This window comes from Homo sapiens, chromosome 17 (genome assembly GCF_000001405.40).
Source record: "Homo sapiens chromosome 17, GRCh38.p14 Primary Assembly".
Taxonomy (NCBI): Eukaryota; Metazoa; Chordata; class Mammalia; order Primates; family Hominidae; genus Homo; species Homo sapiens.
In genome coordinates this window covers 81296847-81310854 of record NC_000017.11, presented here as the reverse complement: position 1 = coordinate 81310854, position 14008 = coordinate 81296847, and the positions used below count along the sequence as shown (strand labels likewise).

At 58.4% G+C, this 14008-nt stretch overlaps 2 long non-coding RNA genes across 2 annotated transcripts, besides 3 other annotated features; one reads left to right on the top strand and one right to left on the bottom strand.

Annotated features, from left to right (window-relative positions):
- Positions 1184-1243: an enhancer, noted in NCBI's record as "active region_12962". NCBI's record gives its function as "activates an Ori minimal core promoter by ATAC-STARR-seq in GM12878 lymphoblastoid cells {active_cell/tissue: GM12878}" and the evidence as "EXISTENCE:reporter gene assay evidence [ECO:0000049][PMID:35858748]".
- LINC00482 (long intergenic non-protein coding RNA 482) lies at positions 1607-8031 on the top strand. Its single transcript, NR_038080.1, has 4 exons — positions 1607-1670; positions 3011-3225; positions 5038-5189; positions 5493-8031. It is a non-coding gene; the product is annotated as a long intergenic non-protein coding RNA 482 (long non-coding RNA).
- Positions 8218-8416: a transcriptional cis regulatory region, noted in NCBI's record as "candidate enhancer chr17.5937 targeted for multiplex CRISPR interference". NCBI's record gives its function as "positively regulates P4HB gene expression in K562 cells {active_cell/tissue: K562}" and the evidence as "EXISTENCE:mutant phenotype evidence [ECO:0000015][PMID:30612741]".
- Positions 11150-11322: a silencer, noted in NCBI's record as "fragment chr17:79273333-79273505 (GRCh37/hg19 assembly coordinates)". NCBI's record gives its function as "represses an EF-1alpha promoter that drives an FKBP-Casp9 reporter gene in an ReSE screen in K562 erythroleukemia cells {active_cell/tissue: K562}" and the evidence as "EXISTENCE:reporter gene assay evidence [ECO:0000049][PMID:32094911]".
- On the bottom strand, positions 11393-12949 carry LOC124904082 (uncharacterized). The gene is made up of 2 exons (XR_007065941.1): positions 11934-12949; positions 11393-11503 (listed from the first exon to the last, which is right to left on the bottom strand). It is a non-coding gene; the product is annotated as an uncharacterized LOC124904082 (long non-coding RNA).
- Positions 12950-14008: the final 1059 nt, after the last annotated feature.

Below are 14008 nucleotides of genomic sequence, written 5' to 3'. Positions count from 1 at the left end.
GTGAAGACACTTGTCTAGTCCTCTGGCTGTGGAAGGTGGGAAAGGGATGTCAACCTGGGCTCGGGAGAGATAAGGAAGCTGAGGCCTAGAGCCTTGTCAGGCCTGGAGCTGCTGTCCTCCCGCTGGGGCAGCACCGCCTGCCTTCATTTAGAGCAGCAGATCCTACAGCACCCGGGTCCTCACCTATCAAAGGCAGACACCATTCCTGACCACGTGATGGCCTGGACGAGACCAGTGTCTGGGTGTCTGGGTGTCTGGGTGTCTGGATGGGAACTGGGAGGGCCCGGCCAGGCCCGGCACATGGTGACTCTGCCTGCCCTTTGCAGCTGAGAGCTGGCCTCTCCTAGACCTCAATGTCCACTGACACCCAGTGCCCCTGCAACCTTCTCTTCCTGCCCCACGAAGGTGGCACTCTCCTGGGGGCCGCTCCAGCCCTCTGCCTGGGGAGCAAGCGGAGGGGCCTGGGACCCCACCTGTGTTCCTGTCTCTATCCCTCCTCAGCTGTCACCAGCTTTAATTACCCCGGCTCCATCCGCCCCGGCCCCTGCGCAGCTGGAGAGCCCCTTGGGCGGGCGCAGGGCCCCTCGCCTGGGCACGCAGCATTCCTGCATTCCTCCCCGGGGCCCACCGACCTGTCCTGCCGGTTGTGGGCAGCTTCCGGGTGCGGGGAGCCCGGCGTGTGTTTGGGGGGGTGCGCAGCTGCTGGATGGGGAGCCTGGAGAGAGCCCGGCTGTGCCCCGGGACTCCCAGCTGCGTTGCCCACATCCCTCTGCCACCCCGCATCACGACCGGAGCCTGGCAAGAAGTCAGTGATTCATCACTCGGGCCCTGGGGGCTGCCTGGAGGGGCTGGGGTGCTTCTAACAGCAGGAAAGGGAAGGCAAGAGAGAACCTTCCACAGTTGGGAGCAGCAAAGCGGCCCAGGAAGCCCCCCAACAGGATGGGACCATCTAAGGTTCCAGCCACCCCAACCCCCCGGAGCAGGGCCCCCAGCCTAGTGGTATGTGGATAAGCCCTGCCTGGGGTGCACCTTCTCGGGGAGACCCTCTGCTCTTTGGGCTACTGTCCTGGGGAGCCTCCCCCTTCCTGGGGCTGGGTGGACCAGCTGCGGAATGGCAGCTCCCCCTGGAGGGGCTGGGGAAGAAGTGGGGCGTGCTGTCCACCAGCTCCTCCCTACCCCGAGGCGCCCCAGATGATCTGCCTCCAGCTCCAAACAGGAGTAGTGGCCACCTGTGAGTTTCTCTGAGGCCCAAGTGGTCACTGCCGGAGCTGCCTGTGTCCCTGTGTCCGGACAGGCTCCTCTCCACCTCTGTGTTTGGGCAGCTCTCCCCTTGTGTCTGGAATTTTTAGAAAACGGAAAAAGTGTAGACAAAAGCAGGCTTTTTATCTCGCTGAATGCTCCAACACCCTCCCTAGTTACACCACGGTAGTGGAAGATTCAGAGGAAGTTTCCTCCTGGTGGCCGTGATTACCATCTGCAGTTCTTGTTCGGGGACATTGCAAAGGTCACATTGTCCGTCCAGCCCCGCCCCGCCCTGACGTTGCTCCCGGAGTGGGGACGGGCTCTGAACCACCCCAGCTCTCAGGGGCCCCGCCCTGGGTAACACACGTCTGCGGTGTTACCCACGACTGCCTGGGACCTGGCCAAGGGCTCCACACACCAAGACCAAGGTGAGGGGAGGTGGTGGGTGGGGACCAGCCCTGCCTCTCTTGGAGACCCCGAGGGTATGGCGCCAGGCCAGCCTGGAGTCGGGTGTGGGGCGGTTAGTGTGAGCATTACGTCTTCTTTTCCCTAAAGTGGCTGAAAATGTCCCCGGGGCCAGTCCCTCAGGGCACCCTGCTGGACTCAATGCAGCAGAAAGAGTTGGGGTGTTTGGCCGGGTGCGGTGGCTCACGTCTGTCATCCCAGCACTTTGGGAGGCTGAGGCGGGCGGATCACCTGAGGTCAGGAGTTGGAGACCAGCCTGGTCAACATGGCGAAACCCCATCTCTACTAAAAATACAAACATTAGCTGGGTGTGGTGGCAGATGCCGGTAATCCCAGCTACTCCGGAGGCTGAAGCAGGAGAATCACTTGAACCCAGGTGGCGGAGGTTGCAGTGAGCTGAGATCTCACCATTGCATTCCAGCCTGGGTAACAAAGTGCGACTCCGTCTCAAAAAAAAAAAAAAAAAAGAGAAAGGGTTGGAGTGTCCCATCCTCAGGGCAGGGGTCAGAGCTGCATCCCTGGGGTGCCCTGAGCTTGGGGGTCATGATAACCTTCACCCTGCATGCAGCCCAGGCCCACACCTAGAAGTCTTGTGGCCTTGAGCACACTGCGTTGCCTCTCTGAGCCTCGGTTTCTCCATCTATAAAATGGAGAGGGTAACAGTGAGAGATTGCTATTGGCTGGCTTCGTTCATTGGGCCCTAAATCAAACAGTGGCTTAAATACCAGAGGCTTGCTCAATGGGTGGTGGGCAGGCAGCCGGGCTGGGGCGGCGCCCCCCCCATCTCCACGGTGTCCCCACCTCTACAGTGCCTCCCCCTCTCCATGGTGCCCCCCCACCACGGCCTCCATCCCTGGGGTCCAGGTTTCATTTGTTCCTCAGCAAATGCTACAGAGCTTTTGTAGGCCCACCAGCAGGAGTGGGGTTGCCAGGCAGTGAGCTAGGGGGTGCTGGGAGGGCCCGAGGGGAGGCAGGGCGCATCCTGCAGGGTGCCTGTGAGGACCTGGGCTGAGGGTGGGTTTGAGCAGAGGCTGACATGGTCTCACCCTCTGGCTGCTGGGTGGGAACAGACCATGGGGAGGCCAGGACGGAAGTGAGGAGAACATGACGATCCCGGAGAGAGATAACCCGGATCGTGGTGGAGACACAGGAAGTGGGGAGAAGTGGTCCAAGCTGTGGATATCTGAACATGGACTCAACAGAATTTCCCGATAGATTGGATGAGGGGTGTGACTGAAAGGGAGAAGTCAAGGATGGTTCCATAGCAACCGCAGGAGCTCCAGCCATTGCATCTGCATTCCAGGCAGCAGGAAGGAGAAAGGAGGGAAGGTAAAAGACTACTGAAAAGCTTTCAGCTGGGGCTGGGCATGGAGGCTCACACCTGTAATCCCAACACTTTGGGAAGCCGAGGCTGGTGGATCACTTGAGCCCAGGAGTCTGAGACCAGCCTGGCCAACATGGCAAAACCCTGTCGCTACAAAAAATACAAGAATTAGCCATGTGCACCTGTGGTCCCAGGTATGATCTCACCACTGTACCTCAGCCTGGGTGACAGAGTGAGACCCTGATTCAGAGAAGGGGGAGGGGAAGAGGAAGGGGAAGGGGAAGGGGGACGGAAGGGGGAAGGGAAGGGGAAGGAGAAAGGGAAAGTGAAGGGGGAGGGGAAGGAGAAAGGGAAGGGGAAGGGGAAGGGGGAGGGGGAGGGGAAGAGGAGTGGAAGGGGAAGGGGGAGAAGGGGAAGGGGAAGGGGGAAGAGAAAGGGAAGGAGGAGGGGGAGGGGGAGGGTCTTTTGGCAAGCCATGAAGTCGGCCCAGCCCTTCTGCTTATATTGCTCAGGTTGTAGTCACAGGACCATGCCCGGTGCTCGTGAGGATGGGGAGGTGATTGCTAGCTGGGAACTGCGCACTCAACAATGACAGGGAGATGCCTCTGGGTGGGGAAGGCAGTGCATGGACGCTGGTCAGCCGGCCACTCCAGGCAGTGGGAAGGTGCTCAGAGGCCCGAGGAGTCAACTCTGGTGGGCGCTGGCTGTGCAGCCGGTGCTGGTGGCCTGAACACGGCAGAGGGCCAGGCCGGGCCTCACTCAAAGGAAGCAGGGAGACAGGAGCGGGGCTGTGGGCTTCTCTCGAGAGCTGCCAGGCAGCCAGGCAGGCTGGGAATGACATTTGCCATGCTGTGCCCCCGGCTCTGGCACTGGGCGGCTCCTGAGGCCCAGGGAGGAGCGTGACCTGCCCACGGGTCCACCATCATCGAATGCGAGTCAGAGTCAGACCAATGCTGTGGCTCCAGGACAATGCCGTGTCCCCTCCTGGGGCTCAAAAAAGCATGACAGGGATTTGGGGGACAGGGGTGTTCACTTCTGCCCTCCAACAGGCTGAGGGGGAGGGTCTGGTTTCTCTGCTCACCTGTGCTGAGACGGTGCTGGGGAGAGGCAGGCGGGAGCCCCAGCCCCCTCCAAGTGTTTGCCAGCCCAGGCTCTGTCCTGTCCAGGCATGTCCTGTCCACCTGCCTCCCTCTAGGGACCGTGGGGGCAGGCCTGGAGCACTGAGCTCAGGGCCCCGAGCCGTCTAGAGGGACAGCTTCCTCACACCATGCACCTGGGCTGAGCTCAAGTCGCTGCAGCCCCTGACCCCCAACTCAGATATCCCTTTGCAGCCCACCTACTACCCAAGAAGCTGCTGTGTAGGGACAGAGCCCACCAGGGCACTGGGGACACGTGGCACAGGCCAGAGAGCTCCTGAGGCCTGGGAGGCTGCCATGTTGGGTCCCAGATGGACACACCCCAGTACGCCCAGTCTCAGGGCCTGAGCCACCCACTGGTTCTAGAATTCTCTCAGGAGAAGAGAGCCCCTCACGGCCCCCTTCATCACAGGCTGCGCGGCCTCAGCCTGGCCAGCCCCGAGACCCTTCTAGCTTGCGGATCCCCCTCCTGCTCCCCCGACCCTGACTCTCCCAGAGTGGACTGGCCAGGTCTGGGTCTGGTCTGCGGGCAGGAGCCCTGCCCAGGCGGCCCCCAGGGCCGGCCCTCCTCTCCCCGACTCCATGCACGTCTATAAACGCCCTGCACAACCCAGGGCCTTTGCCCGTGCATCCTCTGCCCGGGCGCCCTCTACACCATCTGCTGAACCCGGGTGTGCTCTCTGGGCCCCTCTGCAGGTGCCTCCTCTGCTCCTTTGGGAAAGCCCCACCTGTCTTGAGGTCCCCCACACCTGTGCTTCCCAGCACCTCGGAGACCCCAGAACCACTGAACAAAGAACACTGGGGTCCTGGGCTGCCACATGGAGGACCCCAGGGTGGCAGGCTCACAACAGCACAGGTGTCCTCCTACAGCTCCCAGGGCCGGGAGCCTGAAACCAAGGTGTCCACAGGGCCCTGCTGCCCCCAGAGGCTCTGGGCAGAGCCCTTCCGCCTTTCCAGCTCCCCCTGGTTCCCGTGCTCCTCGGCCTGTGGCCCCATCACTCTGGCCTCTGCCTTCATCTCATGTGAGTTTCTCCTCCTCTTCCATCCCTTATAAGGATGAGGGTCGTTGGGCTTAGGGCCCCCTGGGATGATCCGGGATGACCTCATCTCCAGATAACCTCTCCATGACAGCTGCAAAGACCCTTGCTCCAATTCTGAGATTCTGAGATTCTGGTTGGACATCACATATTGGAGGCCACCATTCCACCCACTACACAAAGAAACCCTCCCCTCCAGAACCCCTTTCCCTGTCCGACCAGCCCTTTGCAGCTTTCACACCCCCTGACAAATTTGGTTCTGTTCCCTTATTCTACCCCCTGCCCTAGGCCGAGATCCCTGAAGCGGGCCCAGCTCCGTTCACTGCTCCCCCGGCCTCCTGCTGTTTCCCACACGCAGCCATGGTACAGGGCAGCTCATCCCACCACCTCCCCAACCGCAGCCTCCAGGGATGTACACCCTGCCTCAGGGGCTGTGCCTGGGCCCTGGCTGGTGGAGGGCACAGCCGTCAGGGAAGGCCCTCAGCTGCAGGATGCCGTGCCTCAGAGACCAACCAGGCCCTCGAAGGCACTGTGGCCGGCCCAGATGTCAGCAGCTCCAGCAATTAGGCTGGGACAGATGGTGCCTGGTGACACAAGGGGACTGTGGGGGCCACAGGGGACCCTGCTCACCTGGACCTACCGTGGAGGCCAGGGAGGGAGATGGACTCGAAGGGCGGAAGGGCCCAGAGAAGGCACATTTGCAGAGCAGCGGCCGCATTTCCAGAGCTCGGGAGCCCAACAGGAATCCCGTCTGGCCATGGGACCACCGCCCTTGGGGCTGGGGGATGCCGCAGGGGACGGCAGAGGGCAGACAGGCCAGGAAAAGGGGAGGGCAGAGGGCAGACAGGCCAGGAAGAGCGCCTGCAAGTGCCCAAGGAAGGGACCAAACCCAGGCCCCTGGACCAGAGCGGCCGCCTGGTGGGGCAGGCTGGAAGGGGCCAAGGCCAGCGCCAAGGGGGAGCAGGTGAGGGACCCTGGTGGGCATCTGTGGGAACAAGGCCACGTTTCTCCCTGCGCACGCTTTAATCAAGGACATTCCTGTGGTTCTCCAAAAGTGTCGCACACTACATGGGTGTCGTGAGCTGGGCTCCGTGAGAGTGTGCGGGTGGCTGGGGGCAGCAAGGGAGCAGCAAGGCCTCAAACCCGGGCGGCGGCCTGGCCTGCGCGCCAGGATGTGCGGTGTGAGTTTCCCGAGCTGCAGGAACAAGGTCCACAGACTGGGGAGCTTCACACAACAGAAACTGCCTCGCAGTTCCCGAGGCCAGAGCCCATCGGGGTGGCTCCCTGAGGCCGTGAGCCCGGACTGTCCTGGGCCGCCCCCTCTTCCACAGGCTGAGATCATCCTTGGCGTCTGTTGGCCTGCGGCCGCCTCGCCCAACCTCTGCCCTCATGTCCACACGGGTCCTCCCTGTGTGCATGTTGGTGTCTGGATCTGCCCTTTCTACTGTGGGGCAACTGTCGTCGAGGATAGGGCCCACCACACAACACGGCCTCATCGTAACTAAGTATAGTCAGCAGTGATCCTATTTCCCAATAAGGTCCCATTCTGAGGTCCTGGACTTCAACATGTGAATTTTGGGGGCCACAACTCTACCCTGGCATGCAGAGAGAGAAGGGGGGCGTGGAGTCCCCCTGGGGGGAAGTCCCTTGGGAAGTCACAGGCCCCCTTGGTGGGGCAATTGGGACGTGGGTGTGAGGGTCCTGGGTACAGGGAGCCTGCCTACCAAGGCTCTGCCGACAGCTATTTCTAAATTCCTCGTGGAAAATACCCTGTGGCCCTCCTCATCTGGAGCGAGCGACGGGCTGGAGGGTGTCTGAGCCAGGCTGGTGCCGGGGAGCAGATGTGGGTGGCCCAACCCAGCCCCTTGTTCTTGTTCCCCACCTCCCAGGAAAGGGGGAGGGTGGGCGGAGCCGGCCCTCCTGGGCTCTCTCCTTGGGTCCCGGAGCCACCTGGGGAGGGGAGGCTCAACCCCCTACCTTGGCCAGCTGGCTGCAGGTCTCTCAGGGCTGGCACAGAACAGCTGGGCTTTGCCAGGTGTCCCCCATCCTGATGCACGGCCCGGTGGTGCGGTCTCCAGGCCTCCCAGGATTCTCAGCTGCGCCGTCTCCCCAGTCCCCAAACCCCAGTGGTGGCCGCCAGGGGACTGGACCGTCAGTCTGTGGAGCTGGGGCTGCAGCTGGTGGTGTTTCCAACAAGGGTCTTTTGGCTGCCTGGCTCCAGGGAGAGGCCTCTGGAGGCAAGGGGTAACCTACCGGGAAAGCCTCAAAGGCACCCCCATCCCCGCCCCGCACAGACTCCACCGGCCCCCCATGGTTCCTCCAGGCCCTCTTCAGTCATGACAGGCAGTGCCTGGGTGCCCGGCCTGCTCAGCACACCCTGGGCCTCAGCCCCACCCAAGCCTTGGCCTAGCATGGGAGCCACCACGGGAACACACACACGGGCTGGAGGGTGTCTGAGCCAGGCTGGTGCCGGGGAGCAGATGCGTCAGATGGAGGAGAAAAGCCCTGGGGCAGCGGCTTCTGGAGCTCTGGCCAAGGATGGGCTCTGAGCACACCCCTGCCCGGCCCAGAGCACCAGGCCGGGGCAGGGTCAGGAACAGCTTGAAGCCCCCTGCAAAGTCTGTCCCTCCTCCTGGAGCCTCAGCTGCCCCTCCAACACAGCCCTCTGTGGGAGCCTAGATGGCCCCCGTGTGGCCATGAGACATGGGCGGGCGCTGGTGGATTCCTCTGTGTCAGGTGACATGGTGGCACCCCGGCCGCAGGCTGTGCCCCGGCTGTGGCGTTAAGAAGGGCTATGGATCTAAATAAAATCCAGTCTCTTTGCTGGACCTGTTGTCAGTTTTATGGCTCTGGGGTTATAGAAACACGGGGAAGAGACCCCCAGGAGGCAGGGTGGGCTGGACGAGAGGCCACCAGGTAGGGCCCTCCCCTCCCTCCATGGGATACCACCCTGGGTGATTCTAAAGGTGGGGAGTCCGCTGAGAAAGGGAGATGGGAACCAGAGTTCCTAGACAATTCGGCACCCGAGCCCAGGTGAACTTTTAACTCCTGCCTGCTGGGGTGGTGAAAGCCCAGGCCCCCCTGAGGCTCCCCCAGCTCCCCAAGCCCACTGGGGCCCCAATTTGGATTCCGAGGGGCCGTCCTGGCCTTTGCTCACGCCCCCAGCTTAGAAGTTGGAGACCCAGGTGGGAGAGCGTAGGACTGCCCAGTAAGCAGTGCTCAGGAGGGGGGCCAGTCCTCACTGGGGCCCCTACACAGGACCTCCCAGAAACTGCACGGCAGACACCAGGGTTAAACAGGCTTCCAGCCGGCGAGGTGGCTCATGCCTGTAATCCCAGCACTTTGGGAGGCCAAGGTGGGCAGATCACTTGAGGTGAGGAGTTCAAGACCAGCCCGGCCAACATGGTGAACCCCGTCTCTACTAAAAAACCCCACAAAATTAGCCGGGTGTGGTGGCTGGTGCCTGTGATCCCAGCTACTCGGGAGGCTGAGGCAGGAGAATTGCTTGAACCCGGAAGGCAGAGGTTGCAGTGAGCTGAGATCGTGCCATTGCACTCCAGCCTGGGACACACAGATAGAGACTCTATCTCAAAACAAACAAACAAACAAACAAACAAAAAACCACCCAAAAACCAAAACAAAAAAACCAGGCTTCGGCTGTCGAGGGCACCTGGGCCATGCGGCTCCGTGGGCCAAGCTCTGCCCACCTCGGCGTTCCTGAGCCCGCCCACCTCCCCCAGGCATTCTTTCCTGAAGCAGGCCAGGGCTTGTAGGGGATTCCACCGCAGCTGGGGCCCCGCATTTCTTTGGTGGGAGTTGTGGGGCAGAGGGTGCTTGGGTGCCCGGTGTGGGAGGAGGAGGAGCCTCACCACAGACGTGCAGCGGGTGCAGCAGACCCATGCTCTTGGAGACTGAGGTTCCCAGAGACTGCAGAGGTCCGAGCCAGCCCTCCATCCCTCTTCCCAGACGGTGCCCAGGGCTGTCATCCCCTGTGACCTAATGGAAAGTTGCTGCCCTTGCAGCAGCCATGTCGGCGGTGGGAGCCGCGGAGCCGGCTCAGAGAGGTTCCGTAGCATGCCTGGGTGACATAGTCTTGGTGCTCAGGAAGCCAAGCACGGCTCCTGTGGGACAGTGATATCCCGTCAGTTCTGGCGATCACACTCGCGTGTGGGCATTGAAGCTGGAAGGTGCTGGCTGGAAGACGGCCACGGCGCTTCCTTTCTCCTCCCCTCCTCCTGCTCACACCTCATCCCAAAGCATTTAGGCTGGGCACGGTTGGGGGCAGCCCAGGGTTGGGTGCAGGAGCCCGAGGGAGGTGGGAGCGACGGAGTTACAAACCAGGAAGGGGGAGCACCAGGAGGAGCCCCGTGCCGGGACCTCTACAGGTATTTGGAGGTGTTGGTGCAAAGCCTCAGTGCACGTAGCCAGATGCAGAGTTACAGAGCTAGAGGTGGATGTGTGGTAAACACACACACATGCGTCCAACACACCATCCACCCACACACGCACCACACACACGTGCAACACACCATCCACCCACGCACACACGCGTGCAACACACCATCCACCCACACCACACACATGCATGCAACACACCATCCACCCACACATGCACCACACACATGTGTGCAACACACCATCCACCCACACATGCACCACACACATGCGTGCAACACACCATCCACCCACACATGCACCACACATACGTGCAAACACCACGCAGCCACACACCCACCACACACGTGTGTAACACACCATCCACCCACACACGCACCACACACGTGTGCAACACACCATCCACCCACGCACACACGCGTGCAACACACCATCCACCCACACATGCGCCACACACACCATCCACACACACACTAAACACACACACGCACCACACAATCATACACGGCCATACACACCACACACACTATACATAGACACACACACATTATACATACCCCACAAATGCCACACACACGCACACAACCACAGACACATGCACCATACACACACACCACAGACATAACACATCCCACACATACCACAGACACATCATACACACACGCCATAGACATAACACACCCCACACATACCACACACACATCATACACACACACCCCCAACATCTCTTCTTGCTCTGTCCAGAGGGAACCCAGGCGCCACAAGCACACCCAGCACCCAGATCTCGGCCGCTAACTCCCCCTCCCTCAGGAGGTTCCCTCTCCCAGAAACCAGGGCTCCTGGGGGAAATGGCGAGCCCAGCCTGGGCAGGAAAAGCACAAGAACATCCCAGGGAGCCGGGAAGCAAGAATGCTGGGATCACATCAGGGACACACGGAAGGACCCAGGGGCCAGCCGATAGGGCTCCCACAAGGCCGAGCCTGGGATACCCTGAGCATCTCAATAGTGAGTCAGGGGTCCTGACCCACAGAATAAGATAGGAACCCTGAGCCCATACTGCTGGAGGCTGACCGAAAGCTCACTAAGGCCCAGGATACTCAGCGTGGAAGACACCCCCATCCCCACAAAGCATTCACCAGGTCCACAGAAGAGGTGGCTGCAGCGGTGAAGCCTAGCCCAGCAGGCGACAGGAAACTCAAGAGCCCTGGGTCCCACGGCCACTGTGCACCACAGATGGGATGCAGTGTCCAAAAGGCTTCACTTCTGTGACAGGGACACATGGCCTGAATCTCAGCGTGACGGTGGCCGGCAGCATTGCGGCCCCCTAAGGTGTGCACCCCTCATACCGGAACCCGTGAATGTGACCTCACTTGGCAAAAGGGACTTTGCAGATGTGATTAAGGTTAGACCTTGAGATGGCAGATGATCCCAGATTATCCAGATGGGCTCCATCTAATCGCACGAAACCTTAGGGTTGGAAAACCTTCCTCAGCTGGGCCGGAGATGGGACAGGAGGACTGGCTCCTCTCCATGGGGAAGTTAGGGAAAGGGGCTGTGAGCCAGGGAACAGAAGGCCTTCAGAAGCTGGGGACAGCTTCAGGGGGCAGCCGGCAAGAAAACAGGAACCTTGGTCCTGCGACCCTAAGGGGCTGGACTCAGCCAACAACCAAAGAGCAGGAAGCCAGCTGTCTCCCGGAGCTTCCAGAAGGCAGGCAGCCTGCCGACACCTCGATCTGTGCTGGACTTCTGACCTCCAGAGCCCATGCGTAACGAATTTGTGTTGTTGAAGCTGCTTAGTTTGTGGTAATTTGTTTAATGAAAAACTACAGCAATGAGGAGACATCAAACCCGCATCGAAGGACACAGAGTTGGTTATTATCGAGCACCGAAATTCCTCAGAACGGCTAAATAGGAAAACAAGCAAAAATGAGTAAGCATTTCACAGAAGAAAAATGGACAATAAAAATATGAATAAATAATTCACCTAATTTGTAATAAGAACAAATTAGAGCCACAAAGAGATTCCATTTCATTCACCGGACTGGCCAAACTGACAATAACCAAATGTTGGAGCAGAGGCCCACAAGCTAAGCCCTGAGGCCGCACTGGGCCAGCTGCTGTTTTTGTAAATAAAGTTTTATTGGAACACAGAGATGCCCACTTGTTTACATATTGTCTCTGGCTGCTTCTGATCTGCCATGGCAGAACTGAATATTTGTGAGACCATTTGGCACTGCGAGAGACTAATGACACAACTGAATATTTGCGAGAGACCATTAGGCCCGCAAAGCAAAAAATATTTACTGTCTGACTCTTAATAGAAAGTTTGCCAACCTTTGCTGTAAACCAGGAAGAGCTCTTATAGCTACTTTGAAGAGCAATTTGGCAAGATCTAGTAAAGTCATTTAGGTATGCATACGCATACTCTGCAGTTCCACTTGTAGGTGTTTACCCTAGAGAGACTTGAACAAACACACGTTCAGGAGACAAATCTGTTCACTGGATCACTGTCTCTGAGGCAAGTGACTGGACACAACTCAGGTGCCCTCGGCAGGAGAATGGATGCGGATCTGGGCTATTTAAGTAACGGAGTTCCACAGAGCAGCAAGAATGAGACTCAGAGCACATGCAACATGATGGCAATTCTTGTGAACAAAGTTGAACTGGCCGGGTGTGGTGGCTCATGCCTGTAATCCCAGCTCTCAGGGAGGCAGAGGCAGGAAGACGGCTTGAGCCCAGGAGTTCGAGACCTGCCTGGGCAATACAGTGAGACCCCGTTCTCCACAAAAAGGAAAAAAAAAAGACAAAAAAAGAAATTTAAGTGTGACAAAGTTGAGTGAAAAAGAAAGTTGCAGAATAGCACATATATGTAATTCAATTCTTACAATAGTCCAAAATGCAAAGGTGCCCCATCCCAATACACTACTGAACTAGGTAGGCTACAGCTTTGGGTTCATGAAACAGAGTCCAAAATCATGGTGAGCGCAAGGAGCAGGTTTGTCTCTCCCTCCCAGAGCAGCTGGGAGGAGGTAGTCGTGGATGGGCATGGTGGCTTGGCTCCATGAGTTGTCCAGGGATCCAGGATCCTTCTAGCTTGGTGCTCCACTCTGCCACGGTATCACCCTTGTCTGCACTGTCCGAGATGGCTTCCTACCATCGTGTCTAGGTTCCAAACAGCATGATGAAGGAGCGGCAGACCCCCTCCTAAGAAATGACCTAGAAGTTTCTCCTGTCATTTCTGCTTCTTATTGTCCAAAACTTGGTCACATAGCCAGCCCTACCTGCAAGGGACACTGGCAAGTGTATTCTTTTTTTTTTTTTTTGAGACGGAGTCTCACTCTGTCGCCAGGCTGGAGTGCTGTGGCGCGATCTCGGCTCACTGCAACCTCCGACTCCCTGGTTCAAGCGATTCTCCTGCCTCAGCCTCCTGAGTGGCTGGGATTACAGGCACACACCATCACGCCCGGCTAATTTTTGTATTTTTAGTAGACAGAGTTTCACCATATTGGCCAGGATGGTCTCGATCTCCTGACCTCGTGATCCACCCACCTTGGCCTCCCAAAGTGCTGGGATTACAGGCGTGTGCCACCGCGCCCAGTCTTTTATTTATTTTTTTGAGACAAAGTCTTGCCCTGTTGCCCAGGCTGGAGTGCAATGGCACGCTCTTGGCTCACGGCAACCTCTGCCTCCCGGGTTCAAGCGATTCTCCTGGCTCAGCCTCCCAAGAACCTGGGATTACAGGTGCGCGCCACCACGCCTGGCTAATTTTTTGTATCTTTAGCAGAGATGGGGTTTCACCATGTTTGCCAGGCTGGCCTCAAATTCCTGACCTCGTGATCTGCCTGCCTCGGCCTCTCAAAGTGCTGGGATTACAGGTGTGAGCCGCCATGCTCGGCTGGAAGTGTATTTTTTATCCTAGGCAGTCATACGTGCAGGCCAATTCCTATTAATTTGGAAAATGGAATAAACGAATATTAAGAGACAGAGAGTCAGCTGGGCGCAGTGGCTCACGCCTGTAATCCCAGCACTTTGGGAGGCCGAGGTGAGCAGATCGATTGAACCCAGGAGTTTGAGACCAGCCTGGACAACATGACAAAATCCCATCTCTACAAAAAAAGTGAAAATTAGCTGGGCATGGTGGCACACACCTGTAGTTTCAGCTACTGAGGGCCTGAAGTGGGAGGATCACTTTAGCCCAGGAGGGAAAGGCTGAAGCAAGCTGAGATTGTGCCACTGCACTCCAGACTGGGTGACAGAGTGAGACTCTGTCTCAAAAAAAAAAAAAAAAGAGACAAATAGTCTTCCCCATAATTGTTTAGGGATATATCCATATATGGTAAACCTTTAAAGAAAAGTAATGAATTGATGGAATCTGGATTGTGATGTCTCAGGATAGCAGGGAAGAGGGG